Source organism: Homo sapiens, chromosome 10 (genome assembly GCF_000001405.40).
Source record: "Homo sapiens chromosome 10, GRCh38.p14 Primary Assembly".
Lineage (NCBI taxonomy): Eukaryota > Metazoa > Chordata > Mammalia > Primates > Hominidae > Homo > Homo sapiens.
In genome coordinates, this window is record NC_000010.11 from 79,859,424 (window position 1) to 79,879,762 (window position 20,339).

At 45.1% G+C, this 20,339-nt stretch overlaps 3 pseudogenes, besides 1 other annotated feature; 2 read left to right on the top strand and 1 right to left on the bottom strand.

Annotated features, from left to right (window-relative positions):
- LOC100421010 (putative UPF0607 protein FLJ37424 pseudogene) lies at positions 1,163–1,640 on the top strand (annotated as a pseudogene).
- On the top strand, positions 1,839–2,714 carry NPAP1P2 (nuclear pore associated protein 1 pseudogene 2; annotated as a pseudogene).
- Positions 10,626–11,207: an enhancer, noted in NCBI's record as "OCT4-NANOG hESC enhancer chr10:81629805-81630386 (GRCh37/hg19 assembly coordinates)". NCBI's record gives its function as "activates a minimal SCP1, AML or CMV promoter by ChIP-STARR-seq in naive H9 embryonic stem cells {active_cell/tissue: H9 hESC(naive)}" and the evidence as "EXISTENCE:reporter gene assay evidence [ECO:0000049][PMID:30033119]".
- Positions 10,628–14,492, bottom strand: CTSLP6 (cathepsin L pseudogene 6; annotated as a pseudogene).

The following is a 20,339-nucleotide window of genomic DNA, read 5'->3' on the forward strand; positions in this document are numbered from 1 at the left end:
AAATTAGCTGGGTGTGGTGGCCTCTGCTGAGCTCTCTTTTGTGTTTTAATGTAAGGTTAAGGAGCTCCTGGGCCTTTGGGGATTCTCAGCCAAACCAGGTCCCATCATCATGGCTTTCTCCCCTCTCTGCACGGGCGGACAGATAATCTGCTGCTGCACACAGGACACGCAGAGCTCACCCCTGCTCACTCAGGCTTACCTCCTAGGATGACTCCTAGGCAGGCAGAAGTCGAGGCTGGCTTGCCACACTCACATTCTGGGACCAGGGACCTGCACCTGCCCTTGCTACACTCAACTGTCTCTCAGGCTGTCACCACTGCCCTCAGAAGAGCTCACACTGCTGGGGAGCCCAACTGTTTCTCAGGTTCTTGCCAAGAGGTGGCAAGAGAGTTTCCCCTACTTACCTGCCCACTGGGAACAAAACTTTATTTACTTTTTATTGAGGTAAAACAGATTTAACAGAAACTACCATTTTCATCATTTTTGAGTGCAGGGTTTATTGGCGTTAAGTTTATTCACATTGTTTTCTCACCATCACCGCCAATTCATCTCAAGAACTTTCTCATCATCCCAGTATCAGACTCTGAACCCATTAAACACCCAGCTCCCTGCTCCCCTTTTTCCAAGTCCCTTAATTTGAAGTGCAATGAGGAGACTATTTTTGAAATTAGAATGTTCACTTTTTGTTGACTTTCTCCATGAAAACCTTCCCTTGATTTAGTCAGAAGTCCCCACACCCTGGTTTCTGGGACAGATTCCCCCCAGGCCTCAGGAGACTGTGCCCCATCTGCTGATGATGCCATAATGGGACCCCAACAGGAAAACCAGGATATCTAATGTGCAAGGGCGGGGTTTTCAGGGGAGAGGAGGGGGTTTCCCGAGAATTCTGGAAGCATGTCTGGAACTAGAGCCTTGCATGGGAAGTGCGGCATTTTTCTATCAGTGAAGCACTGATAGAAAAAATGGGGAGACACCTTCTGAGGGGGCATCACAGGCAGGGGAGAGGAGAGGCAGACAAGCACTGGCTGCACTTATACTCAGGCCACTGAGCAGCGGAAACAGTCCAGAGTGTGTGGTGCCACTTTCCCATTGGGATGTTGTGCCTTTTCTTACCAATTTTTGAGAACTTTTGGAATATTATGGATAATATTAAGGATAATAATCCCTTTCCCAGTTCCAGGCTGCTCCCTGTGGCCAGAGAAGGCAGCCTTGAAGGTGTTGGGTAAAGACCACCTGCCCAGCTCTCCAGGCTTGCTAATGTGGGGGAAGGAGATGCAGCCCAAGGATCCTGAAGCTCTTGCATCAAGTAGCTATACTCCACCCAGAGCTGCCGGCCACGGGTCCAGTGAAAGAAAACTGTCAGGACCACCACTGCTGCTGCCACCAACCCCTCCCCGGCAATAGAGGTGGAATAGAGATGACCTGCCCCCACCTGCTAAGCTTCCCTGCCTATCTCCTGAGGGATTCCTGGGCAACATGGATAAGAACAACACCAGTAGAACATCAGAATCCAGGAGACTAAAACAGCTGCTTGGGAAGATAAAGAAGACATGGCAGGGCAGGCATGGTGGCTCACACCCGTAATCCGAGCACTTTGGGAAGCTGAGGCGGGCAGATCACGAGGTCGAGAGATCGAGACCATCCTGGCCAACACGGTGAAACCCCGTCTTTACTGAAAATACAAAAATTAGCCGGGCATGGTGGCTGGTGCCTGTAGTCCCAGCTACTCAGGAGGCTGAGGCAGGACAATGACTTGAACTCGGGAGGTGGAGGTTGCAGTGAGTGGAGATTGCACCACTGCACTCCAGCCTGGCGACAGAACGAGATTCCGCCTCAAAAAAGAAGACATGGCAAACTGCAGTGCCACCCAGCCTGCCCCTGCTGTCTCCACACCTGCTGAGACTCCCTGCCCGGGCCACCTACACTTCACAGATCCCAGCTCCTCCTCCTACCTCTGACTTGGCCCACATGGCTGCTGGGCCCCTCACCCTGCCTGTCCCTCCACCTTCGCCCACACCAAGAATTGAGTAAAAATTGATATCCATAATTCCTAACTCTCCCCTGGGTCTTCCTGCTGACCTTGCCCCCATTTTGGGGGTTCCACCTAATGAGAAAGGAGGCTGCCCTCATTCAGCTGCAGCTTCAGCACCTCTGACCTCTCAGCCCTGCCCCATACCTCCTAGCCCCACATCTTTCTCCTTCCAGCTTCCCTTCAGAAGGGAGCCTCCTACACCCATATGTGTTTTCCTCTCCTCCTCTTTCCTCCCCAACTCCTCTTCCAGCACCTTCCACCGGGATCGCTGCTATCACTCATCAGCAGTTGAATTCCACAGCAGCCATTTCCACCATCACAGCAAGGGCATCTGCCCACCTGACCTTGCAGCCTCCTTGAGCCCTCAGCTCTTTGCTATGGACATGACTTCCACTACTAACGCTGTGGTTTTCAAATCTTCACCAAGCTCCAGAGTGAGCACCCTCTTAATTTCCCAAATTCAGTGCACAGTAGAGGCACCCTGGAAAGACATCGGCTTACGTCTGCCTGGCTACATTCATATTCTCCAGGCCCACCCCTCAGCCCACACTTGGGGCCCCCTGATGGGCAGCAATGAAAAGCCTCTGTCCCCAGTGCCCCTGTTTTTCCAAGCCTTCCCATCGGGGCTCCTCCAGGCACCTCCAGTTTATGGAGCAGCGCCTCTGCAACATCCTCCTCCAGAACAGATTGTGCGATGGGGGATGGCACCACAACTGCTGCAACTGAACACAATTAGGGTCCCCATTCAGAAAGAGCGCCCAAGGCCCACCTGGTACACACAGGTGGTATGATGGGGAACAAATAAGAAGCAAGTCTCCCTCCACATATGGTCCCCATGAATGGACATTGCTCCTGGAGGAAGGGGCTCAGTCCATTGAAGTTAAATTTAAGCTGCTCTCTCCTTATAAAAGCCAGAGGCCCCAAACCTCAATGTGTGTGTGTGTGTGTGTGTGTGTGTATGTATGTGTGTGTGTGTGTGTGTTGGAGGAGGATGTGGGGCTGATGAGCCCAGTCAGAACCATAGTGTATTTGAGGCACTCCCCTGTGGACAGAAGAAGCCAGCATGTGTCATCATCAGCTGTGCCCTCCCTGGCTTGACTGTTCATCTGGCTGACCAAAGCCCCCAGCCAGGTCTCTATTCTTTGAACTGGCAGGATGCCCGCTGCTATTTCCAGGTGCCCCTCTTCCCCTTGCCTGTTTACTTTGATGGGCTCTTCTCTGTCCTGATTGTAAATTAAAACCTTATTCTTGTTGCTCTGCCTCTGTTCATGTGTCTATATATTTTATAATATATATCTTACATATTTTAATTTTTAATTAAGTATTATATATATTAATTATATGTAACCTTAAAACTAGATATAAAGAATGTAGGCATGTAGATACCTTGCAACCATAAAACCTAAAGAAACTTGCAGATCAACAAATGCAGAGACCTCATAAAATTCAAATGACAATATTAATATAATGGAACAAAGGCAGAACAGTCACTCCCCTCCGCTGTGAGGAAGTGGCGCCCCCTGTCCACATGCAGACTCTCCTGAGACCCGCCTGTTGGCAGTGTGCTTTGCAGTAACTGGCTGCTTCCACCACTTGTCCCTATGTAAGTTACACAGAGGCTTCCTTTGCACATCCTGTAATGAAGCCTTTTGGCCTTCACTTGGTGAGAACACAATATTTCATATTAACTCCCTGTGCATTCTTTTTTTTCTTTATTATTTCTCTATAACAAAGAAAATGTCATGCCCTGGCACCAAAGAAATGTTAAATAGATAAAAATATGGAAGCTCTCTGTTAAGTCGATCATCCAAATGAACCAAAATATGTTGATCTTGATCGGTCACTCCACATCTCCAGCAATATGACCCTGTAGGCACCTGATCTCCTCCATTAACATTTTATTTACAAAATCAGGCTTCAGGCCAAAGCTGGCTATGGTTTGCTGACCCCTGTTCTAGTAGAAGAGACATTCAACAACTAATTACACAAATAACAACCACTAAGTGCTATCAAGTAAAAGTACCCAATGCTTAAAACCCTCTAAGAGTAGAGATTGAACCTATGCAGGTAGATCAGATTGCCCTGAGGGAGTGGGTCTTAGATTAAACGTAGTTAATTAGTCAGGTGAGGGCAAGACTACTCCAGATGGAGGAAACAACCTGGGGAAAGGGTTGGGGCAGAAGACAGCCTGGCAAACCCAGTTTGAAAGAGGCTTATGGAGCGGGAGCAGGAAGAGTGAGGGCCAGGGCCTGTGAGCTCAGGCTGAAAACAGCAGGGAGGCCAGCCCCTGTGAGGTCCTGTGGGTCTTGTGAGGGAATTAGGTCTCTATTTAAATACAGAGACTGCGGCACAAGACAAGATGGAGTTGGAAGCCTCCTCTGTTCACCTCCAGACCCACCTTCTGTATCCTGTTTGTGTTCATTTTGGTTCTAGGCTTGCCCAGTGTCTTTACAAGTTTTCCTCCATGCAATTCCAAAATCTTCCAACAAAACAAAAAGGAAAGGAAATTTTGTCTGCACCTAGGCTATCCTATAGTGGAGGACCTAGAGGACTGGAGAGAGCTGTGTTCCTGCTTCTCCTTTCCTCTCTGATGCCCCCTTATATGGAGTCTTAGCAAAGCTTTCTCTGTCCTCGATGTCAAAGGAGCCTTCAGAATATCACCTGGGCTCCTCCTCCTGTGTTACCATGCCTTCTGGGTCTCGCCCTGCCCGCCTCCGCACTCTGTCCTCACTGCCTCACTTCCACGCTCCCCTTGGGGACACTTGCACAGCTTGCTGCCCCGTGAATGCTCCATGTCCCCTTTTCAGTTCCAGGTTGTTCCTCTGCTGGAAGAGCATGTGCCTCGCCCGGCCCCTTTGTCTGGACACCTTCTTTTCTTTAAGAATCCACCCAGGAATGGCTCCTGATGCTTCCAGGTCTGCAGGAAGCCATCCCCGGCCCCTTCCTCATCCAGCCTGAGCGCTGTGCTCCCCTGCAGTGTCCACACAGTTCCCGGTATGAAAGACTGACATCCCAAACTACTGTTCACGTCAGCCTCCTGCACCGCACCCTGAGCTTGTGAGCTCTATGACAGCAAAGGGCTTATGTGAAGGGCGTTTGGCACTTTCCACATGAAGTTTAACCCATTTACCTTGTTAATTCCATTTGTTCCCACCTCTTAGGTACCTGCATATTTCTATCCTTCAGATTTCCTAGCACTGGGCCTTATAGCAGCATTTCTTAAAATGGGGTCCCCAGTCCAACAGCATCAGCATCACATGGGAATTTGCTGGAAATGCAACTTCTGGAGTCCTCCTTGGACCCCTGGGATCTAAAACTCTGGGGTTAGGTGCAGCGATCTGTGCTTTCATAACCCCTCCAGCTGACACTGAGGCCGGCTAACGTTTGAGAACCACGGCCTCCCAGGAAGTCACTGCTCATGAAATTGTTGATTCCCTGAGGACAGTAACTGGTTATTTTCAATCTGAAAAAGAAAAAGAGTAACTGAGGAAATGACAAAGAAAATTTTTACTTTAGAAAAAGAATTTTCCAACTTGATATTTCAAATACGTGACTTCCAAAGAAGGCCTAGCTTTGTACATTTAAAAACAAGGTTGATTCTGCCTGGCTCAGTCTACCCCACGTGTGGTTTTGCTGAAGGGCAGGTGTTTGGAAGAGATAACCTTACCAGGTGCTCTCCACTGCTCAGATTCTCTGCTTCTAGGATATTCTATGTAGCATAAAATAAATATAAGCTAGAGAGGAGGGCATGGTTGCTAGGGGAGTAAAAAGATGGTTTCTGTTTTGCAGGATGAAAGTATTCATGGATGGATGGTGGTGTTGGTTCCATAAAAATGTGAATGTATTTAATGCCGCCAATCTGTGCAGTTCAAGATGGTTAAAATGATCAATTTTATGTTATTTATGTTTTACCACACTTTGAAAATAAAAATAAAGAGATAAAGCTGGCACCTAAAAATGTCCAGGTAACAATAAATCTGGCAGAGTGAAGTACAGGACTACCCATTGTATTTAGAGCAGCCCAGCAAAGCAGAGGCCCCTAGAGAAATGGGGGATAAGAAAAGTGAAAGATTGTTATTTCCAAAATAACCACCTACAAAGTACAAAGTGGTCTTCCTAATGGGAAGAAGTGATTGTTCCTTGGCTCATTTTCTTTTTTTTCCTTTTTTTTTTTTTTTTTTTTTAAGTTTTCAGTGTTTTTGTTCAGTTTGAATTCATATGTGGGAGGATGTCATAGTGTTTGCAGGCCTTTGGATTCTTGAGAACTTAATCAGGCCAAGCTGTTCATGAGGAGTGGGGTGCTCAAATTCATTCTTCCAACAAGGGGCTGTTGGGTACCACTATGGTGCCAGCCCTGTGCTGGCCACAGGTATGAAATGCCCAGTGAGGGCCACATCCTGGCTCACCTACCAGGCCACGGGCTGAGCTCCACAGTTGCCTGAGAAATTTGCTTTCAGGGGTAATTTGTAGAGATTGTAGCTGAGCTTTGGGTGACAACCTGAGGTGCGGTCAGACTTTATCATCACAACCAAAAGTCACATGCTGATGAGAGGCTCCAAACAACACCTGGAGCCCATGCCCCAGCAACTTCCAGATGTTGAGTTGGGACAGGGAACAGGCTTGTCTGCTCCAAATGAATACCCTGGCCAGAAAGAGTAAACCAGGGAGGCACTCTTGAAAGAGCATGTTAAGGAGCAGTGAGCCCCCTTCCACCTCCACCAGGAAATGTCCCCAGGACAGACAGCTGCCGACCTCTTTCTGGAAGCGCTGGGCCTCAGAAGATTGCTGGTTCCTGCCTACTTGCTCCCAAGGCATATTCTTGATCAGAAAGGAGGGAAGAAGTGCGTAGGCATGGGGAGGAGGGGCAGGGAAGAAGTCACAGGAATGCCCACAGCAGAGGTCTGTGGAGATGCTGGGCTATCCCTGGTGGCAACACTCTTGGGGCTGGCGCTGGGTGAGGATGGCCTCCAAAGCACCCTATGCTGTGACTCCAGCCCCCAGGATCCTCCTCAGGGTACAGAGAAGGAGCTCAGGTGAGCTCTGGGTGGATGATACCGTCTTTTTCCATTGAAATAACAGAATTTTACAACTAAAGAGAACTTCCAGATGATTTGAGTCAACTGCACTCTTTTGGGGGCTGGAAGCAGAGATGAAAAGATTTAGACAAAATTACACAGTTCAATGATTAACAATTCAGACTAAGTGTCAGGCCATCTGACCACAACTGAGGCCCCCCGATACTACTCTACTAAGTGTATTATACTGTGGTGTGTATGTAGGTGTGTGTGCACATGTGTGTGAATGTGTGTCAGGACTACATGTATATACATGCGTATTGTGTAAGGGTGTGAGTATGTGTGTATTTGGGCATCTGTACATAAGTGTATGTGTATAGGTGTGTTGTGTGCATACATGCTCATATGTGTAATGAGTTAGTGTGCATGTACCTATGTGTGTATTGAGCATGTGTGTAATTCTATGTGTTTGTGGGTGCACATATATGTGTATTTGTGTGTGCTTAGTGAGCGCTTCGCTGGCCATAATGGCTTGTTTTTCTGGCCAAGAGACTTGATTCTCCCTGATTCAGCCGTGAGTGTGCATTTCCCAGGGTCAGGGTGACTAACCAGGACATCCAGAGAACTTTCTTCTTCTCTGCCCCACCCATCCTGCCTACTCCATTCTCGGGTGTCAGAGGCTGAGGCTCTGGCCCCAGTGTGAGCCCCACAGGAGGTCTTCAGAGCCCTCAGGTTGCCTCACAGCCAGCCTCCATGAGCATCTTTCTGTTTTCCAAGAGGGTGAGCCAGGGCTGCTCCTGTCAATGACAAGATGCTGGGACCTGGATTCACGTGCAAGGAGAAACCAGGCACTGGGGGCTGAGCGTCCAGCTGCTGCTGGGCTGGGAGTCAGCAACCTCTGTGCTTCCAGGGCTCACCCTCCCTGGCAATGGGCGGTGCCCCTTGGCTTTGCGGAAATTTGAGGCAATGAAAGTTTTTATTTCCTCTGGCTGTATTTTCTAGACATATTTTAACGTAGCTATAATCTTACAAAATGTTGAATTTTTTGTCCTGCTTTTAAAAAGATTTTAATTAGGTTAGATTATAACCAAGGCGGGTGGATCACCTGAGGTTGGGAGTTCAAGACCAGCCTGACCAACATGGAGAAACCCCATCTCTACTAAAAATACAAAATTAGCTGGGCATGGTGGCACATGCCTGTAATTCCAGTTACTCGGGAGGCTGAGGCAGGAGAATCATTTGAACCCGGAAGGCAGAGGTTGCAGTGAGCTGAGATCGTGCCATTGCACACCAGCCTGGGCAACAAGAGCCAAACCTCATCTCAAAAAAAGTAAATAAATAAATAAAAATGACTAATAAATACTTACTGAAAGTATAAGTATAAAAAGCTTTAATTATGTTAATTATGAGATTTTAAAACTGTATTACTGGAGAAAAGAGACCAAATCTCCTCATAATACTTTTTTTGTTAATTTATTTAATAATAAAGATGAACATAAACACCTGTGCAATTCAGTGTTTAAAGTTTGCCAAGGTATATGTATATATTTTTCCCAACGTTGATGCTGTGAGAAGCCCAAGCCATGGAGAGGCCCCAGGCAGGTGCTCTGGTCAACAGCCCAAGCTAAATGCCCAGCCAACACCAGCATCTGCAACCAGCCCTGTGCGTGAGGCTTTGCAGATGTCTAGTCTCGTCAAGCCCTGCAGATGTCTAGTCCCATCAAGCCCTACAGATGTCTCCAGCACAGATAGAGCCTACAGCTGTCTCCCCGTGAAACCACACAGCCAAGTCCAGGCGAAAAAAGTGAAAGATGTTTCTACAAAGCCACTGAGTTTCTGGGTGGTTTGTTTTACAGTAATAGAGGAGAACCAGAACGGTCTGTTCCTGCACTCTCCAGTGGTCCCCTATGTTCAAACACTCCGCTTAGCAAGCTTCATCACCCAACACCTGGACCTAATCACTCTGCAGGGTCTCTCACTGCAGTCATTTCTCAGGGTTACTGACATGCTAGTCTCTGCTAAGATGCTCACCTCTTCACCTTCCCTTAGTGACTGGCTGCTCTGGTTGATATTGTCTTTCCCTTCCCCCCGGAAACCCTCCCTCATTACCTCCCTTTCCCTAACAGTTCCAGCTCCTTGAGGTCAGGGCCTGTCTCTTCCACCATGGTGATAACCTGCATATGTTGGGTGCTGCATAAATTCTAACTGTATCAAATCTAGGACCCAACCTGCACAGTTAAGGGATTTACCTTGGGAATCTTCCCAATCTTCTTGCTAACATGGGCTACTTTTATTATAAAATTTCACAGTTGCCATTTTTGTCATTTTATGTCGAAAAGATGGTTTTAGCAACGACTAGGGAAGGGCACGTAAGAGTCCAGCATGGCACATGATCCAGTTCAGATGAACTTAAATGGAGCCTGCTGGAGGCTTTGTGGGATGAGACCCCATTGTCCTCCTAGTTTTCTTCCTGAAAGATTATGGAGTCTATTCACTAAACACTTCTAACTATCTTTTATATTTTTTTTCAGTGGGAACATGAGACTTTTGAAAAAACACAGGTGATTAAACTATGTGCTCTTTTAGCCAATACAATGTGGGAAGTTTTTCTGTTGGTTAAAATAATTCAGGTGCTTACAGGTAGCTTGGTGTGAATGTGGCCACAGACTCAAAGTTTGGGTCCTTTTATCTGTCTTCCACCTTCCAAGGCCAGCATACCATTCCTGAAGCCCAGCCTCACACCCTGGAGTTTATCCCTCATCCCTTGAGGACCCAAAGACAAACAGCCTTGCCAACGCACTAGTGCCTTGTCTCACCTCAACTGCAAAGTGGCCATGGGGTCTTCACCAGCAGCTGGGGAAGATGCTCCAGAAACTGGCCCTGATAGCTTTGCCCTGTAACTTGGCTGGGTTGCAAACATTGTGGGTGAGATAAACATGATCTCTAAGGCTCTTTTTCAGTATTGAAATTACATGTATGTCTGATCACTTTAAAGAAAAATGTGAATTTTTTCTTTATTAAAACAATTTTCCTTTGTCCTTATAGATCGTTTGTCATATTTTGCTTCAATCAAGAGTTGGGTCAGACACAACCACTGGGCAGCTGACATGAGATCTGCACATTTGTTACTAGAAGAGCCAGAAGGCCACCCACTGTTCCTCCTAGTGAACCACTGGTAGAGCAGGTATGGCTTAGAGCCCAGTTTCATGCTTGACTACTGATATGGTTTGGCTGTGTTCCACCCAAATCTCATCTTGAATTTTAACTCCCACAATTCCCACATGTTGTGGGAGGAACCTGATGGGAGGTAATTGAATCATGGGGGCAGGTCTTTCCCATGCTGTTCTCATAATAGTGAATAAGTCTCACGAGATCTGATGGTTTTATAAGGGGAAACCCCTTTCGCTTGACTCTCATTTTCTTCTCTTTTCTGCTGCCATGTGAGACATGCCTTTCACCTTCTGTCATGATTGTGAGGCCTCCCCAACCACGTGGAACTGTGAGTCGATTAAATCTCTTTTATAAATTGCCCAGTCTTGGGTATGTCTTTATCAGCAGTGTGAAAACAGACTAATACAACTACACAAAAAAGTCAGTGCATCAAAACAGAAAGAAGCCCCACCAGTATATTTGAAATTACAGTTTATTTAAACAGGTAAAATTGTATATATCCTTTTAAAATGAAAATACAAAGTAAGTGAATCAATAATACAAACATGTTTATAGCAGTAATTAAAATACAGGTAACATTTACCAGTGTGAAAATATCAGAATTCCAATCACACTTGGATCTTCAATGATTGAAGTGCGCATTCCACACAGCAGGGGCTGGTAGATTGAAGATAAATTCCTCCTTTGGATGTGCCATCCTCAGTCAAGTTCTTCCTCATCACCATCCATCAGCTCACACAGTGGGGTAGCTGGCTGCTGTGGCAATTCCACAGTTGTTCCTCCGGTCTTTGGCCATCTTTATGTAGCCATCCATGCCCCAGTTTTTACCCTAGCTGAAAGGAGAGCAGGTTTTCCATTTCAGAGGAAGGATAAAGCACATTGGGTTATTAACTTAAACAGTGTGCCAGAAGCCACAGTGTGCCAGAAGCCACAGGCTTAACATAAAGAATCAGGAGATGCTGATGTTCCTGTTCATCCCTTGTAAATTCTTGAGTCAAAACCTGCATATCCCTTCAATCCCAGACCCAAAACTGTGACCTTTCACAGAACTGCAAAATCAGAAACAGAAAAAGGATAGGATGTCTTTCCAGCCGATATACTTCAGAATTAAGAAAATGTTCAGAATTTAGACATGCAATGGGACAAATACCATATTAATATCCCCAGCATGCTTGTGACAGTATCTTGACGTTACAATCAATCATTAATATTCTGTGTTCTGCCTAAGGGGGAAAAAGACTTCTGGGATTTCAGAAATGTGATTAAGGGCTTGTGGTATGTAAATACTGATTGCAAAAAAGGATTCCCTTTTGAGTTTCAACTATAAGTCTTTCTGGCAATTTATACCTGTTCTTCACCAGCCAATATTTATTGTTATCTGAGTCTGCTCCTTCATAGCTGTAGCCAACCAGCAGCATAGCATGATCCAGACCTTCGGGGTCACAGCGTGGCTCAAAATAAATTCCTGAGAGAATAAAATGAAGGCTGGGTGAGAAGTTCCCAAGGACACCTGACGGTAACCCACCCTGTCACCCACAGGGAGGGAGGCATCTCTAAAATCAGTGAAATGACACACAGTCCAGATTGGGCTTAACAAGATCTATTGTTATCAAGGCTAGGGAATTAGGCTCTCATCCACAACTAGCAGAAATAGAAATTAGCATAAGTCCCTCATAAAAAAACTTTCCTACAGGCATAAAAGACCGCTCATTTTAAGCTTGTAATTCTACTCTAGAATATCAATCTTAAAAATAGCACAGAACACCAAAATCCTTGACTCAAAAGGCTCTTTTCAGATTTAATCACAGAAGTAAAAATCTTTGGAAAAATTATAAGAATACAACAATTAGACAATATTTAAGTAAATTAAACTATACTATAAATAACATAGCTATTTATAAAAAGTTATGAAGTACAGGTATTCATGGAGATACGCTCAATGTAATATCAAATAGAAGCATTGGGTATGATTATTGCGTGTATAGAGTCCATCATGCTGGTGTGTCATGGTGGTTTACTTTTTTTCTGCAATAATTTCTATGAAGAAAGATGCTTACCTTTTTTATAGAACTGGAAGGAGACATGGCTTGCACCAGCAGCAACAGAGATGGGCCCCACAGTTGCCACTGCCTTCGCCAGGTCCTTCTCCTGTGAAGGGATGTCCACAAAGCCAGTGTCATTAGCAGCAGAATACTTGGGATTGTACCTACAGGTTTTAACCTTTTAAAGGTGAAGAGGGAGGCGACTTGATTACTACCATCCTTCTCCTGGGGAATGTGAGTCAGAACCACAACACTCAGCAGTTTGCAGCATAGAATTTCCAAGTCAACACTGTTACACATCACCCAAGGAAGTGAAATGTTATTATTAATAGTTAATTTGAAACTGAAAATTAGCTCAGTTCTCTTCAGCGAGACCCCTAGGTTTACTTTCCGTAAGACATTTTTCACAATGGAGACATCTGTATTATATGTAGAATGGTTTGTATATTCTCCATGTCACATAGAAGCAAGAACAGCTGCATGCTAACCATGTAATCACAGAACTGTGCAAAGGCTATAATTTATAATGACAACACTGTCACTTTGCAGATAGAGATTCCACCATCTAAAACGTGAATTCTGAAAAGTGTCTGTTATCTCTGAAAGTGTCCCAGTAAAACCAAGCAGGAATGGCAGCAAGAAAAGGAGCTCCATTTACCTTTCCTTCATATGGATAGGATGCCTCAGAGTCCAGGCCTCCGTTCTCCTGAACATACCGGAAGGGATTATCCATGAAGCCACCATTGCAGCCCTCATTGCCTTGAGGCCCAGAGCAGTCTACCAGATTCTGCTCATTCAGTGAGATAAGTTTGCCTGTTTTCCAGAACATCTGCCCTTCCAGAGCACCAGTTGCACTAAAAGCCCAACAAGAGCCACACTGACCCTGAAAAGAGAATAAAAAAGCTGATATCCACACACACACACACACACACACACACACACACAGAGCAAGACTTTTAACAACATGAGTATTTAGCTCATGTAGCTAAATACTCCTTTAAAAAGTGAACTGCATGTTGCTGCACAGTCTACCATAGCACAAATGTCAATTGCTTCTTGGCTTTCCTGGGGTGATGGGAGGTCTGAACCTAACACAGTCTCACCTGATCCTTCACAGGAGTCATGTAGCCTTTCTCTCTCCAGTCCACAGATGTGGGGATCTCAGGAAGCAGGCGTTCCTGGAACTGTTTCCCCTTCCTGTGCTTCTGGTATTGAAAACCATTCATCACCTGCCTGAATTCTTCATTGGTCTTCAAAGAAAAGTAAATAAAATGTTAAGAAGCAAGAGATTAATTTGGTAAAGAACTGAGGAGGGGAAGCACAGAGCTGGGCAGCCCACAGCATACTTACCATGTCTCCAAAGGCGTTCATGGCCATTGTGAAGCTGTGTTTCCCTTGGCTGTATTCCTGATTGTGCTGCTCAATCATCTTCACGTCCTTCTCTCACACTGCTCTCCTCCATCCTTCTCCATTCTAAAGGCAAACATGTAACTGATGCTCTTCATTTCTTTTTTTTTTTTTTGAGACGGAGTCTTGCTCTGTCTCCCAGGCTGGAGTGCAGTGGCACGATCTCAGCTCACTGCAAGCTCTGCCTCCCGGGTTCATGCCATTCTCTTGCCTCAGTCTCCCGAGTAGCTGGAACTACAGGCGCCTGCCACCATGCTAACTTTTTGTATTTTTTTTTTAGTAGAGACGGGGTTTCACCATGTTAGCCAGGATGGTCTCAATCTCCTGACTTTGTGATCCACCTGCCTTGGCCTCCCGAAGTGCTGGTATTACAGGCGTGAGCCACCGTGCCCCGCCGATGCTATTTATTTCTAATTAAAACCCAACATATGCTAACCAAGTGAATCTTCAGACAGGGATGTAAGAGTAACCATGGCCAGGGAAGGCTTGACACTTCTAGGAGATGTTCTCCAAGCTGAGACACAACAAGGGTGTATGCCCATATCGTGCTCATAATCAGTGCTATTAAGTTATTGCGTTAGGTTATTGGTAGGAGCCAGCCTCTAGAAGCCACTTTCTGGCCATACGATCCCAATAGCAATGCCCATCTCTCTGGGGTTCCCCTGGACAGTTTCAGATGCCACCAACCATGCCATATAATCTCTTGTGCTTTGCCTTCCACTTGGTCCATTGTGCGTCTAAACTGTGGTCACGTGTTAGAGCAGCTGAGGCAATTCCCAGGCAAAAGGCAGCCAGGAGGAGTGAAGGATTCATGTTTCAAAAATCTAGGAAGGGAAAAGAAATGAGGATCTGATTAGACCGATCCTAAAAAGCCATTTTACTATGCCCTGAGAAACTAGAGCCACCATGGTAGAATAAAAATATTTAAATTATTCTTCCAAGCATTTACCTAAGGACTGTGGAAGAGGCCAAGGATGTGGCTGGAGAAAAACAGGGCAAGTGGAGGTATTGGAGGGACCCACCAAAATGAAAAGCAGCCTGTCCAGAGCTGTAGGAGTTGAAACAGTTTTCTGGGATGATGATGACAGGCTATGAAAAGGGCAGGAAGGTACCTGATGGGCGAGAAGCTTAAGGCAACAACCAGGAAACTAGGAAACCGTTGGCCCAGGTTTTGTACCAATTGTGCTGAGGTCATCCAGGCAAAACCTCAAGAATGAAGACATCTAATTTCAAGAAGGGACAAAGGGATCCCCAATAATTGGGAAGTCACGTCACACCTTGTTCTTGGCTAATACACAGCAGAAGGTGAAGTATGTTTTCCAAATGCCCCTTGTAATGAAACAGTTCTTGAATGTCTTCCCAGGACAAACTGGGAAGGAGAGCACCTATCTACCGCCGTTCCCGCGGTCCTGCAGTCCTGCAGGTGGGCCAGTCCTGCCAACTCTCCAACTCCCCTCGCAGAGCATAAACTGAATCAGGTGGCCGAACCACCGGACGCCAGAGTCCCCAGTGTCCGCGCCCACACAGGGGTAGGCAGCTTCCCAGGCTTTGGGCTGGGGACCCAGGCCAGGTCCCCTGGCTCTTGCTCCCGCCCTCCGCTCATGCTCACTGTGGCCCCAGGACGTGGGCGATGTTGCAGGGAGCAAGGGGCGCCTCTGCCTGACTTGCCGGGGTCGAGCCTCCCTGTCCCACCCCACCAGCCCTGGGAATACTGCGGCCTGGCACTCCCGAAAATCCCTCACTCACAGAGCTGAAGGACTTGCTGGGTCCCTGGTGGCCCCTGTCCAATCTTAGCCCACTGGGGTCTCAGCTGCTGTAGCCACAGGTGGACAGGCACAGTGGGCAGGTGCTGGGTCCAGGAGTCTCCTGTCGCCTAAGGCCGCCCGAAAGCAGCTAACTGACCTCTAAAGCCCCTAGACCCCCCTGCCCCCTTGCCGCCCAGGCAGGCCCGCCCCCACCGCTTGCCCGCTCTGCGATTGGCTGCGCCAGCCGCTGGGCGGGGCCTTCCGGCTTGCTGACTCCTGGCATGTGGAGCAGCTCAGTCCCCTTGCCTCAGTGGAACCGGGGGAGGGGAGCTGGGGGCTACGAAGAGAAGGGTCGGAGGTCTCCCTGGAGGGTTCGGATCAACTAAGTACCCTATTTAATGCCCTGGGCGGGTGGTTTATGAAAAGAAATTTACGGGAGCCCTGTGTGCATTTTCAGCCTAACCCTGCTTTTCCCTTAGGCCTAGAATTTTTGATTAAAATCTCCTGCAGGGCAGAGAGCCAGAGGACTCTAATCCAGTGGTTCCTGTTTAGTCCACAGCAAAGGTGCGGCCGGTTGGAAGAACGCACAGCCTGCAAGCAGAAGCCTTATCTCCCAATTAAGGGTGTAGAAGAATCTGGGCGTGTTGCTGGTGGCTCATGCCTGTAATCCCGGCACTTTGGGAGGCTGAGGCAGGCAGATCACTTGAGCCCAGTAATTCGAGAACAGCGTGGGCACCCTGGCGAAACCCCTTCTCTACTAAAAATACAAAAATTAGCCGAGTGTGGTGGCCCGCGCCTGTGGTCCCAGCTAGTCGGGAGGCTGAGGCACCAGCATCGCCCAGCCCGGAAGGTTGAGGCTATAGTGAGCCGAGATCGCACCACTGCACTCCAGCCTGGGCGAGAGGAGAACCTGTCTCAAATACAAAAAAACAGCAGACAAAAAAACAACTGGTAGGAAAACGCACCCTCAAAACACATGATGAGATGGTCGAGACCAGACCCTAGGAGGGTGGGGACTGGCTGGATGGGTATCCAGAGACCATGGGCGTTTCATAATGCATTGTTTCCAGTCTCCTCCACTCAGCGACTCTTCTTCCCCTGAAGTCTTGCATTAAGTAAGTGAATGAATCAATCATCAAGTTAATGAAGCTCTGACTTTGTACTTGTTGTCCTTTGCTTGGTACAGTTGGGCACTGCCTTAGAAACAATCTCCAGGTAATTTTCCCAACTGCTTTTGTGAGGCCCAGTTTTCCATTTTAAAATCTAAGATTACCTCAGTAATCTTGCTTTTACAGCAAATGGGCATGGAGCCTGACAGATATATTTAAACTAAGTTATGGACAAGCTGCCTGGTGCATTAGGTAGCATAGGAGCTAACCTTGTGGGACATCTCCCCATATTCGTAATATTCACCCGTACATCTGTAATCAATAAATGCTTGTTTGGAGGCCATAGAAACTCTTCCTGAGATCTGACCTGTGTCTTCTGCTATCTGCCTGATTTCTCGCCACAGAACAGGAAAACACTGTGTAGGAGATATTGTGAATAGAAATATGAATATAGGCCGGGCGTGGTGGCTCACACCTGTAATCCCAGCACTTTGGGAGGCCAAGGCGGGTGGATGACCTGAGGTCAGGAGTTTGAGACCAGCCTGGCCAACATGGCGAAACCCCGTCTCTAATATAATGTTTTTCTTTGTACAAATATGTTTCTTTCCATGGATTAAGCTAAGAAGTATTGTCCCTCTGAAATCAATATAAGAAATATTATCAGTGACATTTCTGTCTTTCTTTTGTGCACAAAGAAAAAAAGAGTTTTATTAACTTAAGGACAACTAAACTCTCTTACCTAACTCCTCAAATGTCACCATTAAAAAGGAATTTGAGATACAAACTAGATATAGTTGCATCTGACTTGTAGGTCATAGGAAATGAAAGGTCAATGGAAGCATAATCTTTGAGGGAGAAGAATGCAAGGGAGAAAATGGAAAAGGTATTCATTTAATATTTATTTGCTGATTTTTGTATGATATGGTTCCAGAAATGACAAATAACGTGGGGAATTGAAAGACACAAAACTTTAAAATATATATTATGGATATATCAAAGCATGATAGAGAGGGGGAATCTCTAAGTTTATCTAGGACATTTATCCATAATTCTACCAAAGAAGCGTATCTTAGTTCATCGACTTTCACCTTGTCCCTCCTAAACTCCTATTACTTCTCTATTATTTAAATAAGACTTTGTATAATTAACTTCCTCAAACTATAAAAATATTTATTAGATAAACATATGTATTAGTTAGACAAGTAAAACAAGATAAACTTAGGTTCTGACATTCTGATTGAAATGCAACACCTAAATGCAGTACATGATACAAAACAGGCACCCAATAAGAGAAGTCATGGTCAATCATCACTATCATCATCATCACCACCATCATTATTTGCTAGATATTAATTTAGTTGCAAAGACTAATATGACATGGTCTCTCTCCTCAAATGGAGAGAATAAAGTAGCCAGTGTTTGCCATGTTGAAGGCAATGAGAAACATATTGCCATAGAAATGTGAAAAGCTAAACGATGTCATCTCATTCAGATTTTTCTCAAATTCATTTCTATCAGTCTTCTTGATAGAAATCTGAATGAGATGACATCTGGAAAAGCTGAAGCTGAAAAAAAAAAACAAAGTATGCCAGGAAAGGCACATGAATAAGGAAAGGAATTATAGAGGAAGGAAAAGGATTTTCAAAACTATAAGGGTATTTAAAACTGCAGTCTGTACAGGAGACTCAAGACAGCTCAGGACTGTGCTAATGCAGATCACTTTACAAGTGGCATGACATGTGTTTGCAGAACTAACAAGGACAAGGTCAAGGAAGGTGGGATACGCCATGTAAGGCACTTGGGTTTCGTGTATATGTGATGGTAAAGCACAGAGGGATTTGAAGGAATATTTTACCCCATTCAAAACCTAAAACTGAAGCAAAAGGAGAATTTGATGTAAGAGTCAGATTCCAATTATTTGGGATATGCAGGTGTCCTTCACTTCTTCATGCATATTTTCCAGTTTTTCAAAATGGTCCTTTAGTCTCCCTCATTTCTTAATTATTTTGTAATGCTGCTTAGTTTCTCTGAAATCCTGAGAATATGAACTACACAGAATATGATCCTAGCCTTGAACTATGTTCCTAAATATGTTTTGATTTGTTTCAATGTTAGCAAGTTTACTTTCTCAAATAGATTGTAATCTCTCTGAGGGTGACATCATTTTGCAGGTAAATCAATGGACAACAGAGCTCACTGGGGCCTCAGAACTCTTGTAGTCCTGTTCATTTACTTCATAGAAAACCAGGGAAAAGAGGCTTAAATGACTATCTAAGTGTGCAAAAGCAGCTTATTGCAAAGCAAGAAGACTTCTTGTCAAATCCTCTGGACTGTGTAATTTGCATTCTCTCTATGCCCTCATGCTGTTATGCCCTTCAGACTTGCATATAATCACATTCATATTTAACTCTTTGGTTAAGTTCTTTTTATTAATAGACATTTTAATAGAAAAAATTTAGATTTACAGAAAAATAGGGGAGATTGTACAGAAAATCCCCATATGACCCCGGCATACAGGTTCACCTATTAGTAGCATTTTTCCATTAGCATGGCATATTTGTTAAAATTAGATAATAAATACTGATGCATTATTATGAACTGAAATCCATAGTTTATTCATATTTCCTTAGTTTTTATGTAATGTCTTCCACCTATACCATGGTGGCATCCAGGACACTATGTTACATTTAGTTGTCATAACTCTTTGGGCTTCTCATGGCTATGACAATTTCTTAGACTTTGTTTTTGATGACCTTGATAGTATTGAGGCATGCTAGTCAGATATTATAGAATACATACCCTGTGTTGGGATTTGTTGGTGTTTTTCCTATTGATAAGACTAGTGTTTGGGGGAGGTATATTACAGAGGGAATTTGCTATTTTCCTTACATTTTATCAATGGTACATACTACCAATATAATTTATGACTTTTTAATTTTTTTTTAATTTATGACTATTAATGTTGACCTTGATCTCCTGGATGAAATAGCGCTTGTCAGATTACTCCACTGTGATGTCACTGTTCTTCCCGCTTCCCATACTATACTCTTTGGGAAGAAGTTTCTTACACCAATGCACACTTAAGAAGTGGGAGGAGTTATGCTTTCCCTCCTTTAGTGTGGACTAAGTAATTTAATTGGAATTCTTCTAAATGGGAGGTTTTTCCTCTACTCCCTCATTAATTAATTTATCTAAACACGTATTTATATTAGCATGGACTCACATATTCTGTTTTATACTTTGGTTTAATCATTCCTGACGACTAATAGGTTCAGTTTTAATTTCATCATTAAAATTAATGGAGGAGTTGGCTGGGCGCGGTGGCTCATGCCTGTAATCCCGGCGCTTTGAGAAACCAAGGCAGGAAGATCACGAGGTCAGGAGATCGAGACCATCCTGGCCAACGTGGTGAAACCTCGTCTCTACTAAAAATACCAAAAAAAAAATTAGCCGGGCGTGGTGGCGGGCACCTGTAGTCCCAGCTACTCAGAAGGCTGAGGCAGGAGAATCGCTTGAACCAGGGAGGCGGAGGTCGTAGTGAGCCGAGATTGCGCCGCTCGCTGCACTCCATCCTGGGCGACAAAGCGAGACTCCGTCTCAAAAAAAAAAAAAAAAAAAAAAAATTAATGGAAGAGTTTTCTCCAGTCCTCTTTAATATTTAAAATATTTTTTCAATATTCTATATTTATATTCAATATTCTAAAATATTTTTGAATTCATAATAAATTTTGAGCCAAACAGTTACGTATTTTGCAAAAGCCTGAAAAGATGTCTGCAGATTAGAGAACATGAAGATGTTGTCGTGTATTCTGTTTAAG